Below are 20,423 nucleotides of genomic sequence, written 5' to 3' on the forward strand. Positions count from 1 at the left end.
TCTCCTCCCATACTTGGCAATGTTTTAATTGAGTACAAGTAATTTCAGGTCTAGGATGGAGTTATCTTCCTCTATGAGGATTATGTTTACATCTGGCAGGTGGCTGGGGATGCAGTGAGCCAGATCTCTTTCATCTACTTGTAGGGGATGAGAGGATTTGAGTCACTTTAAGGGCTGACCTACTTCTGTTTCATTCATATTCATAGGGTGAAGCCCACTGGGGCTCCAACCCAAAGCATGAAACATTTGCCAGGTAGCCTTCCTGTTGGTGGGCTTTGCAGTGTCTTCTAGAATCAGCAGACCCCCTACAGAAAACGTAGTCCCAGATGCCATGCATATGTCTCTGAGTTGCCTTCTTTTCCCAGATCTTGGCCTTGTAATTCTTCACTGCTTTGTTTCCTGCCCAATACTCTCAATTAGACTTAAATATATATATATACGTACATATATTTATTAAATATATATATATACGTACATATATTTATTAAATATATATATATATAACTTTAAAAGCTGTTCAAAATGTCCTCCCCCGCCCCACACACACACGCAAATTTTGAGCAGCTTTTTAAGTTGTCCTGAACTGGGAATTTGGTCCAAATTACCCAGTCCACAGTTATTAGAAGTAGTCCTAAAAAACTGACTTTGACGTTCCCATTATATATTGGGAAAAGGCTGCCACTCTTTGAATTTAGTGTTCAGAAACTGTGGCCCAGCTAATTGAACATTGTCTTTTGAAAGGAGTTTTGTTTAGAGAGCAGCACGGTAATACTGGTTACCCGGGGATGGGGTGGCACTCGGCAGTTGGCAGAGAGAAAGAAATAGCCACAGAGAAAAATAAATTACCGATTTCTCTGGCTTTTAAAATGCTGGAATCCTAAAATGCTAATGCTACTTTATATGTGAAACAAAGCCCCTTCGAGGTCACAATCTCTCTCTTCTGGCCCATGACTGTCTCTGAGGGAGCAAATTATCATCTGGTTGAGCAGAGGAAGCTCCAGGAAGTTACATAGCTGGTTCAGGGTCTCAGAAGTTGAAGCCCAGCCAGGCTTTGGAAGCAGGTCCCCTGGTCCTGGTGGCCCTGGAGGTTTCTTCCTGGAGGCAATGCCAGTTCCCATTCCCTGTGGGCATGTGGGAGCGAGGCCCTATCTCCAAGGTGACTTGAACCAAGTGTCCTTACTGTCCCTGTGGCAGGGATGACAGATTGGGGGTGCTAGGAGTTCTTCCAGACCCTTCAACCTGGCCACCCAACAGAAGGCCTCATGGTAGATTCTGCCAAACAAATGCCAGATGGGCCAAGGTGTCTAAGGTCCCAGGTGGCTGCTCAGGGCAGCTCCAGCTGGCTTGAGGTGTACAAAGGGAGAGCCAAGTGGCTGGGGCAAGAGCCTGCCCAACTACCTGAAGGGACAAACAATGTGAGTTAACATTTATTTACGGAGTTCTGAGCATAAGTCAGGAAGCACTTTCCATGAATTAACTGGGAGGCAGGCATTGTTATTTACCTGCCTGACAGTTGAGAAAGCTCAGGCACACAGACTGGATGTGGGCGGAGTGGAAAGGGCAACGCTCATCCGAATGAATCAGCCGAGAACAGTGCCACTCAGGCCACATCTGAGTCTTCTGGAATCAGCCTGAGGCCCTGATCTGGGCGGATGTGGACAGCATCCCCCTTCCCTACTCTCCCTGAGCCAGAGTCGTCCATCGCTTCTAGCCTGAGTGCCAGGAGCTGAACCAGGAGGCTAGTGGCCAACCTGGTGCACACAGCACATGCTGCCGGAATAAAGCTCCTTCTCCGTGGTCCCAGCCCTTCCTAGCATATGCTGGGTGTGCCCGTCCTGGGGTGGTCCACACTCATCCGTCTTACAAATGCTGACCGAGAACTGCAGCTCGGATGAGGAGGGATGGAGGGGGTGTGCAGAGGGTGGGGCCCCGTCCGAGCCCTTGGCTTCTGCCCACGAGTGAAGCAGAATTTAGGGAAGAGGTGGCTGAGCCCCTACCCACACTAAGGGCTGGAGTGGGAGCCAAGGAGTCAGGCGCTGAGGTTAGAGGAGGGAGGTTTCAGAGAGGCGAGCTGAGTCCAAGGGGTGCGGTCGGCCGCCCTCTCTTCACTTCAAGCTGCAAGGAAAGGGGCTTTAAAGAAAGCCGCCAGAGAGCTTCACCGTGTCCCCTGCAGTTTAATAAATCCCTTGGACTGATGCCTCACCCACTGCAAAGTCTAGAGGGCAGTCAGGCTGGCTGCATTGAAGGCGGAGCTAAGGAGAGGGCTGGCGGCCCAGGTGAGGGCCTCCTGTGAGAGACAGCATGGAGTCTCCTAGGTCCAGTCGAAGGAGGCTGCCCAGAGAGTGAACCGACCTCAGCCAAGAGGAGGCAGAGCTGCCACTAAGTATTGGGGGCTTATGGGTCCCCTGAGGCCCATGTGAAACACTCTAGTCAGGGGACCATGGGGCCAGGCTCTTAGGACCCTTGGAGGAGCCCACAGAGAAAGAGGGACAGCTCTCAACCTCTGCAAACCCAGAGCGCAGCTCAGCCAGAGGCTGCCATGCCCACTGCCTGCCCCAAGCTGCCACCCCCAGGCCTGAGCTGGGTGGGGAGCAGGAGAGTTGATGATGGCATGGGCTTCGATGGGGGCTGAGCCTGTGTTTTGTGATGTGAAGTGATGAGGACCATTTGTATTTTCTTACCAAGATGCACCCAGCTGGCGAGGCTTTCTCTCTCTCTCTCTGTCTCTCTCTCTCTCTCCCCCCTGTACCCCTCAGCTCTCTCTCTCTCCCCCTGTACCCCTCAGCCAGGGCCCAACAAAAAATAGGGCCTAAGGAAAAGAGCCCTGGGCTGGGGCTCCACAGAGTTGCGTTTGGAGGCCTGGGGAGGAGGGACTTGAATTTGGGCCTGGAATGTGGGATCATGAGCAACAATGGAGGAAGGCGCAGAGGCCCCCAAGACCTGTGGGCATGAGCACCATGAGCCGCTCGCCCGGGGAAGGACAAGAATGAAGGCCCTGGTCAGCTGAAACAGCCCACGACTGCCTCCTGAAACACTGTGACGAGAGAAAACCCGACCTTCATCCGGGCTTGAAATCATCCCTTCCTTTCCCACTTCCAAACTCCCCCCAGCCTCAGTTTCTCCCCACAGCCCCTATGTGAGGAAACCACAGTGGGAAACACAGGGCTGAAGCGTTCCTAGTGGACAAGACCAGGTCCTTCCACAGCCTCCTTAACCTTCTGTGGGTCTGATATACCGCAGAGAATACTGGGAATTGCCAAGGCCGTCTCTGGGAAGTCTGCAGATGCCCGTGTGCCCACAACAGGTCCGCCTCTGAGGCCCATGTGGGAGTCCAGCCCCCTTTCTCCTCCCCTTCTCATTCCTGTGTTCCCCACAGGCCCAGGGGAGGGACCCAGCTGGAAGCACTTGGGGCCCTGGATAGGCCACTGAGGAAGGGGGGTGTGGTGGCAGGGTCACATACGCCCCACATCTGTATGAGGGGTGTCCACCCAGGTGCTAGCTGCAGTGGGAGGTTCGCAAGGCCCGAACAGCCGGTGGGTCCAGCAGAGCAGGGCAGTTGTCCCAGGCCCGCGGTGTCACGGCTGGTGAACTCCGAGGACAGCGCATCTGAGTGTGGGATGTCAGCGAGTGTGCCAAGCAGGGGCGAGCAGCTCTTGGGGGTGCTGCTGTGATGAGTGGGTTCCTCTGCTCCTGACTCCTCCGGCCAGGCCGTCAGGAAGACCAGCCCATCACGGCAGTGCAGTCACCAAGTTTCCAAGCTGCTGTGTAAGCCGTGGGCATAGAACCGCCAGCGGGATCTCAGCATCCACGGTGCTCACTCTAGGAAGAAGGCAACAGGCTTTGGGACCTGGCTTTACCACTCCCTAGCCTGTGACTTGGGCCAGTCTTTTAGCTTTTCTGGGTCTCACCATTATCATCTGTAGAGTGAGATAATTACACTTTTCTCCCAAGGTCACTATGAGGACTCAAAATGCTCAATGCGTCCCTGCTTGCGGAGGCGAGGCTTGCTCAGAGTCAGGAGGGCAGGACTGTCTCAGGCAGTGAAAGGAGGATGGGGCTGGGCACGGTGGCTCATGCCTGGAACTCCAGCACTTTGGGAGGCAGAGGCAGGTGGATCACTTGAGCCCCAGACTTTGAGACCAGCCTGGGCAACATAGTGAGACCCCATCTCTACGAAAAAATACAAAAATTAGCCGTGCATGGTGGCATGAGCCTTGTAGTCCCAGCTACTTGGGAGGCTGAAATAGGAGGATTGCTTGAGCCTGGGAGGTCAAGGCTGCAGTGAGCCATGATCATACCACTGTACTCCAGCCTGGGTGAGAGAGTGAGACCCTGTCTCAAAAAAAAAAAAAAAAAAAAAAAAAGCAGATGAGCTCCCAGGATGCCGGCCCTGAGCTGGCAGCCATGAAGGCGCTTGCCTCCCTCCACTTCCTAGGGTGCAGTGTGGGTGGGGCGGGGGCAGCTAGGGAGTCCTCCGGGCTCTGCCGAGCCCCTTCCCCAGTGTGAAGTCCAGCCTGTTCTGAAGTCGCACAGGGCCAGACACCTGGGCTGCCACCTCCCCTCTGGAAACAGTCCTCCTTGCCTCGGTGGGTCGACAGCTCCAGGCTATTTTCTTCCCCTGAGGATCTGAAAGTTGGAGGTAATTGGTTGGCTCAAAAAAAAAAAAAAAAAAAAAGGAAAAGGGCATGCAAGCACAATTGTGCAGGCTGCAAAGGAGGGAGGCATCCTAGGGCTTCGTCTCCATGGGAACTACTGGCACAGGCTGGCTCCTCTGGGCTCCAAAAAGGGAAACTTGGCAAAGGTTTCAGGCACCTGGCTCCTGAGTGGTTTGCTTGGGGGCCAAGCAAATGCCCAGGAGCTGCCCGCCCAAGGGACAGGACACAGCCCCCTCTCTCAGGGATGCCTGGGAGCCCTCGGCCCCATCCTTCACCCTCACACCCCAGGAGATCCCGTCAGGTCCTCAGCCACCCTGGATGCATCCTGACTTGGGAGCTGGGAGGGGACCCAGCACAGCTGGAGAGCATGAGCAGGTCATGCTTTGGGGAGACACCCGTGCTTCGAGGCCCTCGGATGGGTGAATGGGAGGTAGTTAATAAGGGACAGATGAAAGAGGTGGAAGGACCCTGAGTGTCACCCTGCTGATGTAGCCCTGGTGGCTGTTGCTGTTTCTAGGATGTGAGCCCCAGACCAGCACCTTGCAGACCAGCACCTCAGGCCAGGACCCTGAGAGAGGACGCTTCAGATGCTGGGTGCAGTGGCTCCCTGCTGTCCTGGGGGCCCCTTGGGCTGAGATCATCATAAGGGTGGCACTGTCCTGTGTCTGTGAAGAGTGGCAGGCGGGACTGGGGCAGTGGGGGTGTCCTGGCTTGTTCTGGAAAATACCTCCAGGAATGATCCCTTCCTTTTCCACTTCCACAGTCCCTCCTGGGCACTCTGGGTTCAACTGCTGCTCCTCCCCACTTCTTGGGGCAGAAACTCCTGCCCTGAACTCCCCTCTCCCCAGCCCCAGCTCCCTGCACCCTCTACCCCCATTCCTCCTTGGTGACCAAAAAGGGCAAGGAGCAGAGAAAGAGGCAGCGGGCAGGGGAGGCACAGAGAGCCGCTGGTGACAGGGTAGGGGAGAGGCCAGGAGAGCCAGACAGAGGCTTGGACAGGCTCTGAGAGACCAGGATTAGGGGCCATGGAGAGAGAGAGAGAAAGAGGGGAGAGAGAGAGAGAGAAAGAGGGGAGAGAGAGAGAGAGAGAGAAAGAGAGAAAGGGAGGGAGCGAGGAGGCAGAGGGGTGGAGCGATAGAAGCCGGCAGGGAGGAAGGGGTGGGCAGGGGGAGGGCGAGAAGCCGCCGTTGACAATTACGTCTGGGTCCAAGCAAACATGAGGCAGCTGCCAGCCGGCCTGGGCAGTCTTGTCTGCCTCGGCTGTGAAGTGGGGAGGCTGGCAACAGTTTTCTTCAGCGCCCAGGATGCAGCCGGCTAAGGTAGGTGCTGGGGGAATGGGGTCTTGCTCTGGAGGGGGGTCGGGGGGAGGAATGGAGGCTTCTGGGGGTTGCTCTGGACCAGGAAGCCTTTTTCTTTGACCCTTGTCCCCTCTTGTTCCACTTTCCTTTGGGGAAAGTGAGCGTTGGGGCGTCCTGGCTGGCGCTGGGGTGTCCTGGCTGGTGTTGGAGTGTCCTGGCTGGCGTTGGGGTGTCCTGGCTGGTGTTGGGGTGTCCTGGCTGGGAGGCTGAACTCCTAGGGCTCCCTTTGGATGGGAGAGGTTTATAAGTGTTTGCGGAAGAAAAGCTGGACAGAGGAGGAGCTTGGGGTCAGCCCACGACTCATCCTGCTCAGTTAGGTCCCTGGGTCAGGTGCCAGCGTGGCTGACACTGAGCCCGGGCCCCACAGCCTTCAGGTTTGGGGGAGGGGTGAGCCTGGGAGGGAGTCACTTGTGCTTGGAGGTTGGTCAATGAACGCATCTTCTAATCAAGCAATCAAGTAACGAATGAGTGCCCACTTCCTCTGAAAGGGCTAGGAGCCCCTAACAAGAGCACTTCCCACACATTCCCTTTCAGTAGGGCTGTGGGGAGGTCAGAGAGAGAATGCAAGGAAAACGCCTGGCACAGAGTTTGAGAAACAGTGGTGGGGAACAGGGAAGGGTGAAGAATTAAAGGAGGAATGAGGGAAGGAGAAATAAGCTGGCCCTCCAGCCTCTAGCTGACTCTCAAAAGGTCTGGCCTGATGCCCTGTGAGCTGCTCACACATTCAGGATAGTTCAGGTCTGGCTGCTCATAACAGAACGCCCCAAATAACAGTGGATGGAACAAGGTTAGCGGGGTTTCTCTCTCATGCAGAAGTCCAGAGGGGCAGTGGAGGGCTGGCTTGGAGGCCGCCTGATCAGCAGCATTTCAGGCCTGCCCTGTATCACCCCTGAGGTTACCTTAAGGTGCAACATAACTGCTGGAGCTCCAGCCAGCACACATGGGCTCATACTGACATATGAGCAGGAAGGAGAAAGAAAGAAGGGCAAAAGGACCCAGAGACAATCAGGGTCTTGAATGTAGGAAAGAAGGGATATGGGGTTGGCACCTCAGCGTCTCTGCCCTGAACAGATGGCTTCCTGCCTCTTTCATCTGTGAGGACAAGCATCCAAGCATGGGCGGGTGGCTGGCTTGGACCACACTGCCCCCAAACCCCAGGCCTCCCTTGTGCTATCTGCTCCATCTTCCAGGGTGCCAAGAGGATCAGCTGAGGTGATGGCATGAAGCCCTTTGAGCATGGCAACACTACACATGGAAAATGTGCCTTCTCTCCTGTCACCTCAAGTCTCCCCAGCAACCACCATGCAGGCAGGGCAGAGTGGAGAAACGTAGCGCCTTGCCCCAGGCTCACACACTACGGCGTCAGGGTGCACAGTGCAACCGTGCCCATAGGCAGAGACACATTGAGCGACCCTGCATGACTACAGAGATGGGAATTTCCAGAGTCAGGCTGCACACAGATGTGCACACAGCCAGCTCTGACCTCCAGCAGAAGACAGTCCTCCCCTCCTTTGCCTTTCCTCTGCGGGCCTTAACTGCCAAAGGTCACTCTGGGAGCTTGGCCACTCCTGCCCCTGCCAGACTGGCAGAGTGGGTGGCCTGAGTCCTGCACTTACATCTGGTTCTTCCCTTGGCCATTGTGACCCCACACTGCGCTCTACCCTCCCACAACCAGCTCCTGGGCCCCAGTGGGTCTCACTGTCCTTATGTCTGCTGGTGGCCTTCCTGTGGCTGGCCTGGCCAGGGAGGGGAGTGGGACCCACACCTCCTGGTGCTGGGCCCAGCAGAGACAGTGGTCCTAGGAGAAGCCACCATTAGGTTTCTCATCAAGATCAATGGGAGATTGTGAAAAATAACCTTCCTCTCTTGTGGCAGCAGGGACTGTAGTCAGAGCTCAGGTTGGGAGGTGTTCTGACTCCTCAGGGTCACGGTCAGTGGCTGTCCCCCAGTAACGCCCCATGACTGCCCGGCTCCCTAGCCTACTCCCCAGCCATTCATGAATTCTCACCTCACTCCTATGGGGAGGCGGGGAGGCACTGCCATTCCTATTCTAGACACTGAGGCTCAGAAAACTGGAACAGCTCCAGGACTCCATGAGCTTGATCCCATGAGCTCTTAGGAGAAAGGAGCGAAAGACCCGCAGTTTCTGCGACAGGCGCTGCTGTCGCGGTGTTGAGGCTGTGGTGTCTTCACAGCTCAGCCCGTGCACTGGGAACCCCTTTTGCCTGGCTTCCAGCCTTGTTGCAGGGCACTGTGCGAGATGGGCCCTAATTTGCTCCCACATTTCAAAAGACCCCAGGCTGCACTGGGAAGAAAGGGGCTCTGCCTCAGCCCTCCAGGTAGAGCCCAGGAGAAGGGCAGAGCTGAGAGCCAGAAGCCTGAGGGTACCAACGCCCATCTAGGACATTGTCTCCCGCATTATCTCCCTGGACCCTCACGCAGCCCACAAGGCAGCTGTTGGTATCATCCCCACTTCACAGATGGGGAAACAGAGGCCTGCCCCAGACTGCAGGCTACAAGAGTTGTGGCTGAGATTTGAACCCTGCTCTGTCTTACTCCAGAGCGCAGCAAGTCCCTAGGGCTTGGGGGTTGCGGAAGAAGACGCAGGAGGAGAAGGGCATGCCTTTAACCAGATGGCAGAGGAGGGGCCCATCCCAGCCGTGCGGCCGGTGGTCTGTTGTGCCCTCTGAGCCCTCCAGTGAGTGCACACAAGCCAGACTCCACCTGGCCGCATCCCCTGCGTTAGCCACGTGACCTGGAGCTAGCTGCCTCCCATTTTTGGACTGTGGATCCAGAGCTAGGAAGTAAAGGACCCCAACATTTTAAATTCAGGCTGCCTTGTCTTATCAAGACCTTCTGTGTGAGGCAGGGAACTGCTTTACTGACTTAGCAGAGGGGCCTTAGAGCCCCCCTGCCCTCCCCAGCCCACCCCTGGGCATCCCAGTGACTTCCAGGAGCAGCCAATGTGGCTTCTGCACGGAAGAAAGCACTCTCAGTTTCCAAGGTGAAGCAGAAGAGGGGAGAGAAGTTAGCACGTCTTTCTGGCCTAGTGCCCAGACCTGGGGCAGGCAGGAGCCTGAGAGTCGGGGGAGGGCACAGCATGGGGCGAGTCCCGTGCTGCTTCCTGCCCAGGGCTCCCGGCCTCAGCTGACTGATGTTGCCTTTGAGCAGGTGCGTCTGTCATCTGAGATCAGCCCATGCCTTAGAAGGCCAAAGAGCAGCCCTGTGGCAGGGAAAGAAGCAAGGGGACCTGCAGAGTTGGAGAGGGAGCAGCTGAGCTGAGACGGGAGGGCAGCGTGGGGGTGGCGTGTCCCACACTAGAGTCGGCCCAGCCTCCCCCTCTGACCTGCCACCTCAGCTCTCTGCCCAGCATGCCCTCTCCATCAGCCTGGCCATGCCTGGGCCAGGCTCAGCCAGGAAAAGCAGCTGCTGGTCTTTTCTGGCCTCACCTCCCAGCCTGCCCAACGCCCCCAGCCTTCCCCAGCCTTTATCACATGGACAGTAGGCAGATGCCAGGGTAGGCAAGGGACAAGTCCCCTGCATCCCAGTCCTCTGCTGCTGGTGCCACATGCCCCTGTGCCCAGCTCTGTCGTGGGATCCTCTCTCAAGATGGGCACTCTGGACAGTGCTCCAGAGAACCAAACTGTAGCCCCACCTCTGCCCCACTGACTCAGGGCCTCAGTCTTCCCATCTGGGTCTGAGAGATGCTCACAGCATCTGCCAGGCCTTGTGATGAGCAGTGCAGGGCTGGGAGGCACGGGCCTGGCTGACTCAAGTCAGGGCCACTGCCAGCAGTGCCCCACATGTGCACACAAATGTCCATGGGTCTTGCGCAGAGCCCTGATCCTCACTGTGCGGGACTAAAGGACCCCGGGCAGGAGACAGGCATGGCCAAGAGGCATCATGGCTGTGCCTTGTTGGCTGTGAGCCCTGACTGCACCAGCAGACCTGGGCTCAGTCCAGGCCCTGTCACACACTGGCTGTGTGTCCTCTGACAGGTTACTTAGCTCATCTGTGCCACTGTGTCCTCATTTTCCTGGGGGAAGTATGAATATCACAGAACCCCCAGATAAATGTGATCCTATACCAACCAGCTTGGCCTGGCCCCTGGCACAGAGTGAGGCCTCCACACATGAAGGGAATACCTATGCCATCCCTTCTGACTGTTGAGGAGAGCCTGGGAAGGCCACCAAGAGGCAATTTGGCCATGGGCAACTCAAGTTCACCCCTGGGTTAACGTGACACCCTCACTGCCAGGCAGCATGGGGAGCTTGTCCTTGTCAAGGTGGCAGCCATCAGAGCAGGGGTGGACAGCCCAGCTCTCCTGCTCCAGTGCTGCCAGAGGGCTGGGGCCCAGGGCTGTGTGTGTGTGTGTGTGTGTGTGCGCGCTCATAGGTGTGTTTGCAGGCATGTGTACGTGTGTGTGTATGTGCATATGTGCACACATGCATCTTCAGGGACTCATGACAACCTCGGCTCCCCCGACAAGGCGAGCTGCCTTGCCTATGTCTGTCTGTGCCCAGGGGTGGGTGGAGAATCCAGGCTCCCCAAAGCTTCCCCATTCCATACCCTGGGGCCTGCACGACACAACGCCCACCACTGCTTCCTGCCATCTGTCCCGAGTGATGGAAATAGAGCCAGTGACAGCAAGCAGTGCTGGGTGGGCCAGTCTGCACCGCAGCAGCCGTGGACAGGGTGGGGGGTGGGGAGCCCCACATCTGAGTAGCCTGGATGTCTCATGCTGGCCCTGGCCTCGGTGAAGCCCTTCCGGAAAGGAAGGGGGTGAGAATCGGGGGACCCCCTTTGCCTTTCAGGCAAGGCCAAGAATTTTCTATCTGGAGGGACAGACACTCTAAACAAATTCCCCAAGCTGCATTTTCAGATCTATTGAGGAGCTTTATAAGAACAGAGTAGCCCAGCCCTCTCTGCATCAAACAATCCAGCTCCTGGGCAGGCAGATGGTGAGAGCCTCCCCACGTGATTCTGGCATGTGGCAGCTGAGAGCGGCACATTGGGCCTCCCTGCCAGGCATGCTAGGCTGTGGGTTTGGACAGCCAGACCCTCCCTGGGATCAGAAGGGCGAGGAACACTGACTCTCCCCCACTGGGGGCTTTGTCACCTTGCCTTCCCCTTAACCCTGTGAGGGCACATTGTCACCCCCATTTTGCAGATGAGTAAACTGAGGCTCGGAGCTGTCAGGTTCTCTGTCAGGGTCACCGAGCTGGGAAGCGAGGGTGCGGGATTCATGTAACTGGTTGGCCACAGACCCCTCCCACTGTCCTCGGCTGCTGGAAATCACATCCACCTGCCTTCGATCTCCTGCCCTGCCCCCAACTAGCCGTGCCCTCTGAGCCCACACCCAGGGGCCCTGGTGGCACATACGAAGCCACTCACTTCTGTTTTGCATCCGTTAAGTCTGTAGACATCTGGGAGGAGTCAGCGATGCATCTTGCCCATGCATGTACTCCTAGAACGCCACCCGGGAGCCTGGATACTTTAACGCAGGTTTTCCAGGACCCCCACTTCTCACAGGCTGTCATGTGCCCCCCAGTCACCTCTGCCACATCTGCTCTGGAAGGCTTTCTGGGAGTTTCTCTGGAGCACAGTTGATGAGAACCATGGAGACTGAACTAGCGGCTCGAGGGTTTCACCTTGGCACACTCCTGACAGTCTGACTCCATCTTCTCAGCCAGATGGGCCTCCTCAAGACGAAGCTGTGCCATGCTGGGCATGGGGCAAGGAGTGGGACGCTGCTCCGTGGGCCACCTGGCCTCTCAGGGGACCTAGAGTGTAGGGAGCCACGAGGCAAAATGTCCGGTCCAGGTCCTGGAGGTTTGTTCCAAGTGCTCAGCCTCTGTCTGTGGTGTGGAAACTCTCGGGATGATGGTGTGGTGTTTGCGGCAGAGACTGGACTGTGTTCAGGGGGAGAGGAAGGCATGGGGGACAGCCCTGCCTCCTACATTCCCGCAGTGACAGTTTTCTCAGGCACTGGGAAGTCGCCGCCCCTCCCTCACTGGCCACATCTAGAGTAGGTCCTGAGTACCTGTCTCCATAATATCCCCAGCACCCAGCCATGACCTCCGCCTGGCTCAGCCTTCCCCCGCTCTCCTGGGCCTGGGCATCCCTCGCCTCCCCCAGATGGCCGCCTGCCTCATCGAACCCCCAATCTGATCTGCACATTCCACCAGGCCACCCTTCTGAGGCAGCTGCGAGTCCAGCTGGACTTGAGTGGCAGAGAGCAGCTGGGGCGGCTGTGCCCTGCCAGGAGGATGCTGCCCCAAGCCTGCCGGCTGGCAGGTCTGAGAACCATCCGGATCAGTCCTGTCCAATAGAGACATGATGCAAGCCACAGATGTCACTTAAAATGTGCCAGTAGGCACAGTAAAGAAAGAAAAAAAGGTTAAATTATTTTAACCATATGTTTTATTAAACCCAGTGTAAATGATTATCATTTCAACCTGCAATTGATATAAAGCATTTTTAATGAACTATTTGATAGTCTAGTAAGTAAATGTTTGGAACCCAGTGTGTGTTTACACGAGGGCACGTCTCAGTGTGGACCAGCCACATGTCAGTCTCAGCAGCCTGGCGAGAGGCCGCCGTCACTCAGACTTGAGGGGTCGCCTGGCTGAGTCGAGCAAGCCCCCAGCCTCAGCCACAGAGAGAAACATACACTTCCTGCCTTTACCGTTTTGCTGTATCTGTTGTGACCTGTGCTATTGTTTCTTATTATTTTTCTTTAAATTAACTCATGCATTGAATTTTAGTGAATTCATTTAAAAGGGAATCTTTAAATCAGTACTGTAAGTGGGAAGCCGGGAGCAGAAGTGGAAGGTAACCACCACATTGCCATGAAATAAGGCAGCAGCGATAAACTCCCACCCATGGTCTGTGGCCTGTTGAGGCTCTGAGCTGAGGCCGTGCCCTCCCTTTGTAAAGAGAATGGCAGTGGGGAGCTGGAGAGTGTGCTGGCCCCGAGTCTAAGTCATCTCCTGCACCTCGTAGGTGCAGCTCCCCACTGCCAGAGACCTCAGGCCAAAGCCCCCAGGACGCAGCTGACTCAGAACAGGCTGGGTTTACCCCTGTTGAATAACAGGAGAACGCATACCCCAGGGACCCTGGCAAGCTGCATGAGAACGGGTGAGCTAGAATCCATTACCGGATTTGGGGCTCAGTTGGGTGCTTTGGGTAATTTTGAGGTTCTAAGGAACCTCAAAAAGTTGGTGTGACCATTAAATATGATAACCCCTCCAAACAACTAACTCAGCACCAGCACACAGCAGGGGCATCACCCACGCCATCTTTTTCCATCCCTCCCTGGCTCCCCACAGGCCAGGAGGACTTAGAAGGAAGTTGAGGCCTGGTCCTGGCCTGCCTGGCTGGGCAGGAGCTACAGATCTCGGCCACCAGGTGACTGGCAGAGAATGGCCTGCCTGGCTCACCAGCAGCCTCTATCCTTCAGGGAAACTTGTGACCTTTGAGAAGGCTGCAGGTCCCCAGGGCCAGCCTAGGGCCGTTTCTGGGACACAGCCCTAAATGCCCACACTGCCAAGTATGCCACCAGGGACTCTGCCTGAACCCAGGGCCCAGATCTTCTGGCTTCACTCGTCTCTGCCACTCAACCCTGGCCATCCTCTAAAGCTGGTAGACAATGACAGTTCTGTCACCCATTAAAATGAGGCCGGCATCGAGCAGGAGTGGGAGGAGAGAGCCCCAGGTGAATTGTGAAGAGCACAGGGGACTTTTGATCATTCGTGAATATTTATTCAGAGCCTTGTGCATGCTTGCGTTTTTAACACCTTCTTTTTGGGTGCATGAGAGTATTTTTTGATGGAAATCTTTATTGAGCTCGTTGTAGATTCACATGCAGTTGCAGGAGCTCACAAAGAGGGCCCATGTACACTTAACCTGGTTTCCCCAATGACAGCATATTTCAAAACTACAACACAATAGCACAACTGGAGTGTCTGCAATGATGCAACCCACCAGTCCTAGTCCGATTTCCCAGTTCACACGCACTCATTTCCGTGTGCATTTTTTGCTACAATTTTTATCACGTGTAGGTTCAGGCACTCAACAGCACCATCAAGATGCAAAACAGCTCTGTCCCCTCAAGGCCCCTCCTGCCGCCCTGTGAGAGCCACACCCCTCTCCCTCCTGCCTGCCTCCCCCCATCCTTAACCCCTGGCCCTCTAATCTGTTCTCCATTTCTAAAACTTTGTCATTTTACAATGTTATATAAATAGAATCACACAGAATGTGACCTTTTGGGTTGGCTTTTTCATTCAGCGTAATTCTCTGGAGGTTCACGCAGGTGTGGTGTGCGCCAACAGTTTGTTTGTTTTACTTGTCCAGAATTCCGTGGTATGGATGCACTGGAGTTTGTTTAATCATTCACCCATTGAAGGGCATTGGGTTGCTTCCAGTATGGGGCCGTTCCAAGTAAAGCTGCCATGAACATTTGTGTACATGTTTTCACTTGAACATAACTTTTCGTTTCTTCAGGATAAACGGCCAAAAATACCGTGGTCGGGCTCTGTGGTAGCGCATGCCTAGTTTTTATAGGAAGCTGCCAGACTGTTCTCCAGAGTGGCTAAGGCGTTTTCCCTTTCCACCGACAATGGAGGGGTGATTCCGTTTCTCCACATCCTCACCAGCTTTCAGTTGTCATTATCTTTGGTTCTAGCTGTTCGGACAGGCACATGGTGGTGTCTCACAGCGGTCCTCCTCTGCGTTGCCAGAATGGCTAATGACGGCGAACATCTCTTCCCGCCGCCTTTGCCATCCACGTGTCCTCTCTGGTGAAATGTCTGTGCATGTCTTTCACATTTTCTAACCTGATGGTTTGCTCTTTTACTGTTGAGTTTTGGGAGTGAGGATCTCTTGGGTGCCAGGCTGTGTCACGAGGAAAAGCAGGTCACATGAGGATCAGGTTCCACTCTCGCAGAGCTGATGCGCTAAAGGGGAGAGACAGAAAACACAATAATAGGATCAGTTCACAAGGGCTGGGTGAAGAAGTGCTGAGATGGAGGTGCATGGGGGAGGGTGGCCTAGGTAGTCAGGCAGGGCTCTTCTAGGACCTGAGCCGTGAGTGAGGCCTTAAACGCCTGGGGCAGAAGTGTCCAGTGCCAGGAGCAGCAGGTGCCAAGGCGGTGGTGTGGGAGCAGACTTGGAGGGGCACGGTGGGGCTGTCAGGGCCTGGCAAGGAGGCACTGGGGCTCCCGGCAGGGTTGGGGCATCTAATTCATGTTCCATCTCATCACTGCCCCAGCTTCTCTCCCAGCACCAAGGCACTGTGGGGTGAGGGGCCAGGGGGCCGCCTCTTAGGACGCCCTCCCTTCCATGCTGTGAGCCTCCCAAGCCAGCAGGAGGGTGCCTGGGCTGCTATTTAACATTCCCTGACAGCTCAGTCAGACCCTCTTCCAGACAGACAAGTGTCAGATATTCATGAGGATGACCTCCTCCCGCCTCCCCAGCAGCCTGAGGGCCCAGGCCGCAGCCTGATGAGTCCCAGCTTCCCAGGCTCGGCTGCTGGGGTCTCCCTGCCCTCCTGTCCCTGGCCCTCCCCTCCCTTCTCTTCTCAGAACCCACCCCCTGCCTCACAAAGAGGGGTGCCCATCATGGGCCTGCCTTGTGGGGCTCACAGGTGGGATTCTGGCCCCTCAGCCAGATGGAGGAGCCTGGCCCGGAACCCCCACCACCACTCCACCCAGACTCTCTCCACAGGGAGAAAAGACACACTGGGGCCCCCTAGCCCAGGAGGGCATCACAGCACTCCTCAACGGATATTTTTGGAAGGCTGCTGATGTGCCTGAGGGGCTTCGGAACACACCCAGCTCCAGAGACCGCCCCAGGGACCCAGGCCGAGAAACAGCCTCAGCAGCAAAGCCTGTGGTCAAGCCCATGTGAACTTTGGAATCAGAAGACTATATGTGTAGTGTGGCCCTGGCATGTCCCAAAACTTCTCAGGGAATTAGTTTCCTCATCTGTGAAATGGGGATCGTCTTACCGATTGCAGGGGGTTGTCGTGACGAGATTACTTTCAGCTCAACATAGACATCCACTTGGGAGGTGCTCAGCCTGCCCTTTGGGCTCACCCAGCCTTCCCGGGAGGACTGAGCCCTGTGAGCTAGAACCCAGGACACCCATGGGATCTCCCGCACGACCTGGGCCTGGGGCTTCAAGACAGAATCCCTGTGACTAACCCTGGGCCCCGAGAAGCAGCCTTGCCAGCCAAGCCAGTGCTGTTCTGAGATGGGCTGCAGACGGGGCTGGGGGTCCCAGTGAAGAGCTCCTGCCAGGGGCTCCGAGGCCGCCTCAGTTTCTTCTGATGTCCTCTGCTCACCCCCCACGCAGAGCCTGCAGCAAAGAATTTGTGATGTAATGAAGCACCTGCTGCCCCTCTCTCCCCTACGACCCTCCTTAACCAAAATAAAGACTCCTGAATAAGATCATGAATAATGGAGAAAGTGCGTTTCTGACCCAGCCTGACAGGACGTGTGTGTGCATATGTATGTGTGAGCACATGTGCATATGAGCATGTGTACGTGTGTGTGCCTATGCATGTGTGCTTGTGTGTGCATATGAACATGTGTACTTGTGTGCATGTGTGTGCGTGTGTGTGCATGTGAGCATTGTACACGTGTGTGTGCATAGCGTGTGCACATAGGGAGCTTCCCTCAGCACCCCAGGCACCCGTCCACCCCCAGCTCTCCCCCTGTTTCTGCTCCATCAGCATGGTCAGTGCCTCTTCTTGCTGCAGCTCTGGGCACCACTGAGCCCCCTCATTGCTTGGTGAGCCTTGGAGAAGGGGAGGGACGTGCAGGGGTTGTTGCCAAGGGTGTGTCGGAGGAAGGGTGGATGATGACTGTGAGCTGGAGGACTGGTAGTTGGGACCTAGCTGGGGAAGGCCCAAAAGCCAGGATAAGGGAACTGGACATCTCCCTGCCTAGGGGACCACTTCATCAAACACTGACTAGTGGGCCAGCTGCCCATCCCGAATGTGGATAGGCCTCAGGGGACCATGAGCCAGTGAAGCACCCAGAGAATCCTCCCCCAGCTGGAGCCTGCAGTGTGCAGAGACCAGTGGGGGTGCCAGGCCCATGCCTCGGGAGAGGGGCCAGCCTTTGCAGCAGCAGCAGAGCCCTGTCGCTGGGCTCTGTGTGGACGGGCATGGCCAGGGCTGGTGTCCGGCGCTGCTCTCTGATCTCGTCTGCTTTCCAGGACTGGCTCTCTGTGCTTCCCTGCAGGCTGTGACTGGCCCGGGCTCCCTGCTGCCAATTCTTCCAGTTCAAATCAACCTGGGTCAGTCTCTGGCTCTTGCACCTGACAGTCCAACTAGCACAGGGGCTGTCTTCCAGGGCTGCCTCTGTAGAAGCTGCTTGACGGCCCCGTCCATCTGTTATTTACTTTGAACAACCAAATACTTTTCAGGACCGTGCAAAGGTAGCACACACGAGACCCTGTGACCTGGGAAGGGTATGGACAACCCACCCCCTGAGTGGCCCTCTTTACTGGCCAAGGAACCCAACTGCTCAGAACACATATGCATGTGGGGGTGGTGCCACTGCCACAGCTAGAGGTCAGGCAGTGCGTCACAGACAAAATGAGGGCCATTGGTGGGCTGTGGTCCAATGGGCCAGACCACACCTGTCCCCCTGCCACCCCGAGCAGGAGAGGACAGCACAAAGGCAGCAAACTAGACCCAGCAGGTGCACAGAGGTGTGGCCAGCGGCAGCCTGCGGTGCACCTCCCTCCTCTGTGCCTCATGGGCCAGCTGCCAGCATGGGAACTGAGCATGGTGGGCAGTTTGGATGTCAGGATTGGGGGGCCTGAAATACGTTGTAGGAGAGCAAATCCTGCTGCCCTGGGGCCTCCACCATGACCCCAGGAGGTTGTTTTCTGATCCACACCGACTCAGGCACATGGCCCACTGCTTTTTTTTTTTTTTTGAGACAGTCTGGCTCTGTTGGCCTTGCTGGAGTGCAGTGGCATGATCTCAGCTCACTGTAACCTCCGTCTCCCGGGCTCAAGCAATTCTCCTGCTTCAACCTCCTGAGTAGCTGGGATTACAGGCACATGCCACCACGTCTGGCTAATTTTTGTATTTTTAGTAGAGACAGGGTTTCATCATGTTGGTCAGGCTGGTCTCGAACTCCTGACCTCAGGTGATCCGCCTGCCTCGGCCTCCTAAAGTGCTAGGATTACAGGCGTGAACCACCACGCCCGGCTGATCCACTGCCTCTTAATGACCACCCATGACTCACTCCTCCCAAGACTCTCCTGCCCATAGCTGGAGCTGTTTCTTCAGATCCCTGCCAGCCTCAGTGGTCGGTTCCACCAGTGCAGCCCTCCTGGGGTCACCACCCAGCCTTTCATTCATTCTCAGCTTGCCTCAGCATGAAAACTCAGGCAGAGCAGGGGCCCTGCTGGGGGAGTGAGGGAGCCAGACGTGGCTGTGTGACCCTGTACAGATCCACTTGCCTCTCTGGTTTTCAGGCAGATGAGGGATTGGGATCGTGATTTCTAAGGGGCTGTCCAGCTCCGACAACCTGGCCTGTGCCAAGGTGGAGAATCCAATGAGTAAGTCTGGGATCACTGCTGACATCCCCTCTCTGCACCCCTGTCTGCCCCTCTTCCAGGGGTCCCATCTTACACCATAGCCAGGGTGTAGAGTGAAAGGAACCTCCCCAGGTCTGGCAGGAATGGCCAGGACAAGGGGCACTAGGCATGCAGCCCCGGAAGGTGAGCCCTCTGTTGTGTTCAGGCTGGCCTCATCTAGGATATCAGGGCAGCTCGGGACCATCCAGGGGTCCCCCCTCTGAGCAGGGGCTCAGGGCTGCTCTGCCTGTTCCTACTGCAGGAAGTGACAAAGGCGTCGGACGGCAGCCTCCTGGGGGACCTCGGGCACACACCACTTAGCAAGAAGGAGGGTATCAAGTGGCAGAGGCCGAGGCTCAGCCGCCAGGCTTTGATGAGATGCTGCCTGGTCAAGTGGATCCTGTCCAGCACAGCCCCACAGGGCTCAGGTAGGGGCCAGGGTGGGCTGTGGTCAAGGGTGGGGGTGGGGAGATCTGTTCTGAGCACTGTCCTTTCTGAGGGCTCAAAGGCCAGCCTGGGACCCCAGCCTGGGCTACATCGCCCCTGTCTCTATTGGAGGTGTGTTTTCATTCATTCACACCCTTCCCCATTCATTGAGTGCCTGCTTCACACAGGCCACTGAGCTCCCAGTGGGACCCACAGAGCATGGGTACAGAGAGCTGGGACCACACTGCGGTTTTCCAGTTGGCTAGGAAGACAGAGCCAGGCTGCAGAGTCCAACAAACCAGGCTCCACCCTGCCCACTGCTCACGCCCTGAGTAAGCCGGGGCACCTCATTGATCCTTTCTAAGCCTTCCGTGAGAAGCCAGGCTGGAACCTGTCCACAGGGCACATTTGAAGATGGGAAATAATGTGTGCAGTGCCTGGTGATCAGGAGGCCCCACCCTCAGCCCCTCCTTGGTCCTGTTCAGTGCACCCCAAGGATTGGTGCTGGCTCTTTGCCTTGGGCTGCATTCTGGTGGTGTGTTAACGAGAGAACGGGCAGAAATCACTGCCCTGGGCTTGCCATGGGTGATATTTGGTGTTTGCCGAGTATAACAGGGCTGAACAGACAATGGCAGCCTCATGCGGCCCCCACGATCTCACACACACATTCAGACACCTCACACTCACACCTATGCACACACACCGGTGCCTCTACCACACACAAGCTTGCACACTCATCATGCACACATAGGTAGGCATACCATACACACTTGCATACTCACATACACACACCACATGCAGGCACCCACACACCATGCACACTCATGGGATCACACATGTGAGTATGGTGCGTATAAGAGTCTGCCTCTGACTTTAAGGAAAAGGTGCAGACTTGCCCTTGACAGCTGCATCTTGTTTGCTCTCTTGGACCCTCTCTAGCTGTGTGATTTCCAGGGAGCGTTTGTCCCCTGGCCAGGAGAATGGGCATGATCGGGGTCCCAGCCTCCTAGGCTTGATGGGGGTCATGAGTGGAGGGGATCAACTGAGGGGTCTGGGCAAACAGCAGGCACAGTGGCTGACAGCCACAGCCAGAGGTCCATGCCTGTGCACAAAGGGACTGGCTGCTACGCACCAGATCCCCGTCCTTTACCCACAAATGCCACTCCAGGGTGCTCCCAGCACGATTCCAGCCCCCTCCCTTTTGCCACCACCACCTCTGCTTCCCCACAGAGCCCCTACCCATCTGTGATGCTGTCACCTTGGCTGAGACTTGTCCCCAACCCCTTCCCATGGAAGCGCTAGCACCTGTGAATGCATGAGTGAGTTCCACATGCACCCCCAACTTCTCGGGGATGGGGGTGGCAGGTTTTGCAGGTAGCAGAAA

The 20,423-nt window shown here is 56.2% G+C and overlaps 1 protein-coding gene across 1 annotated transcript in view, besides 3 other annotated features; it reads left to right on the plus strand.

Annotated features, from left to right (window-relative positions):
* The first annotated feature begins 5,867 nt into the window (after positions 1–5,867).
* The window catches only part of KCNIP3 (potassium voltage-gated channel interacting protein 3), an 88,731-nt gene continuing 74,175 nt past the window's right edge, over positions 5,868–20,423 (plus strand). The window contains exons 1-2 of the mRNA NM_013434.5: positions 5,868–5,974; positions 18,876–19,041. Of these exons, the coding sequence (NP_038462.1) occupies positions 5,960–5,974; positions 18,876–19,041 (181 nt within the window). The 5' untranslated portion in view covers positions 5,868–5,959. The remainder of the gene's footprint in view (positions 5,975–18,875; positions 19,042–20,423) is intronic.
* Positions 7,001–7,501: an enhancer, noted in NCBI's record as "H3K4me1 hESC enhancer chr2:95964228-95964728 (GRCh37/hg19 assembly coordinates)". NCBI's record gives its function as "activates a minimal SCP1, AML or CMV promoter by ChIP-STARR-seq in naive H9 embryonic stem cells {active_cell/tissue: H9 hESC(naive)}" and the evidence as "EXISTENCE:reporter gene assay evidence [ECO:0000049][PMID:30033119]".
* Positions 14,662–15,547: an enhancer, noted in NCBI's record as "H3K4me1 hESC enhancer chr2:95971889-95972774 (GRCh37/hg19 assembly coordinates)". NCBI's record gives its function as "activates a minimal SCP1, AML or CMV promoter by ChIP-STARR-seq in naive and primed H9 embryonic stem cells {active_cell/tissue: H9 hESC(naive and primed)}" and the evidence as "EXISTENCE:reporter gene assay evidence [ECO:0000049][PMID:30033119]".
* Positions 17,320–18,203: an enhancer, noted in NCBI's record as "H3K4me1 hESC enhancer chr2:95974547-95975430 (GRCh37/hg19 assembly coordinates)". NCBI's record gives its function as "activates a minimal SCP1, AML or CMV promoter by ChIP-STARR-seq in naive H9 embryonic stem cells {active_cell/tissue: H9 hESC(naive)}" and the evidence as "EXISTENCE:reporter gene assay evidence [ECO:0000049][PMID:30033119]".

This window comes from Homo sapiens, chromosome 2 (assembly GCF_000001405.40).
Source record: "Homo sapiens chromosome 2, GRCh38.p14 Primary Assembly".
NCBI lineage: Eukaryota > Metazoa > Chordata > Mammalia > Primates > Hominidae > Homo > Homo sapiens.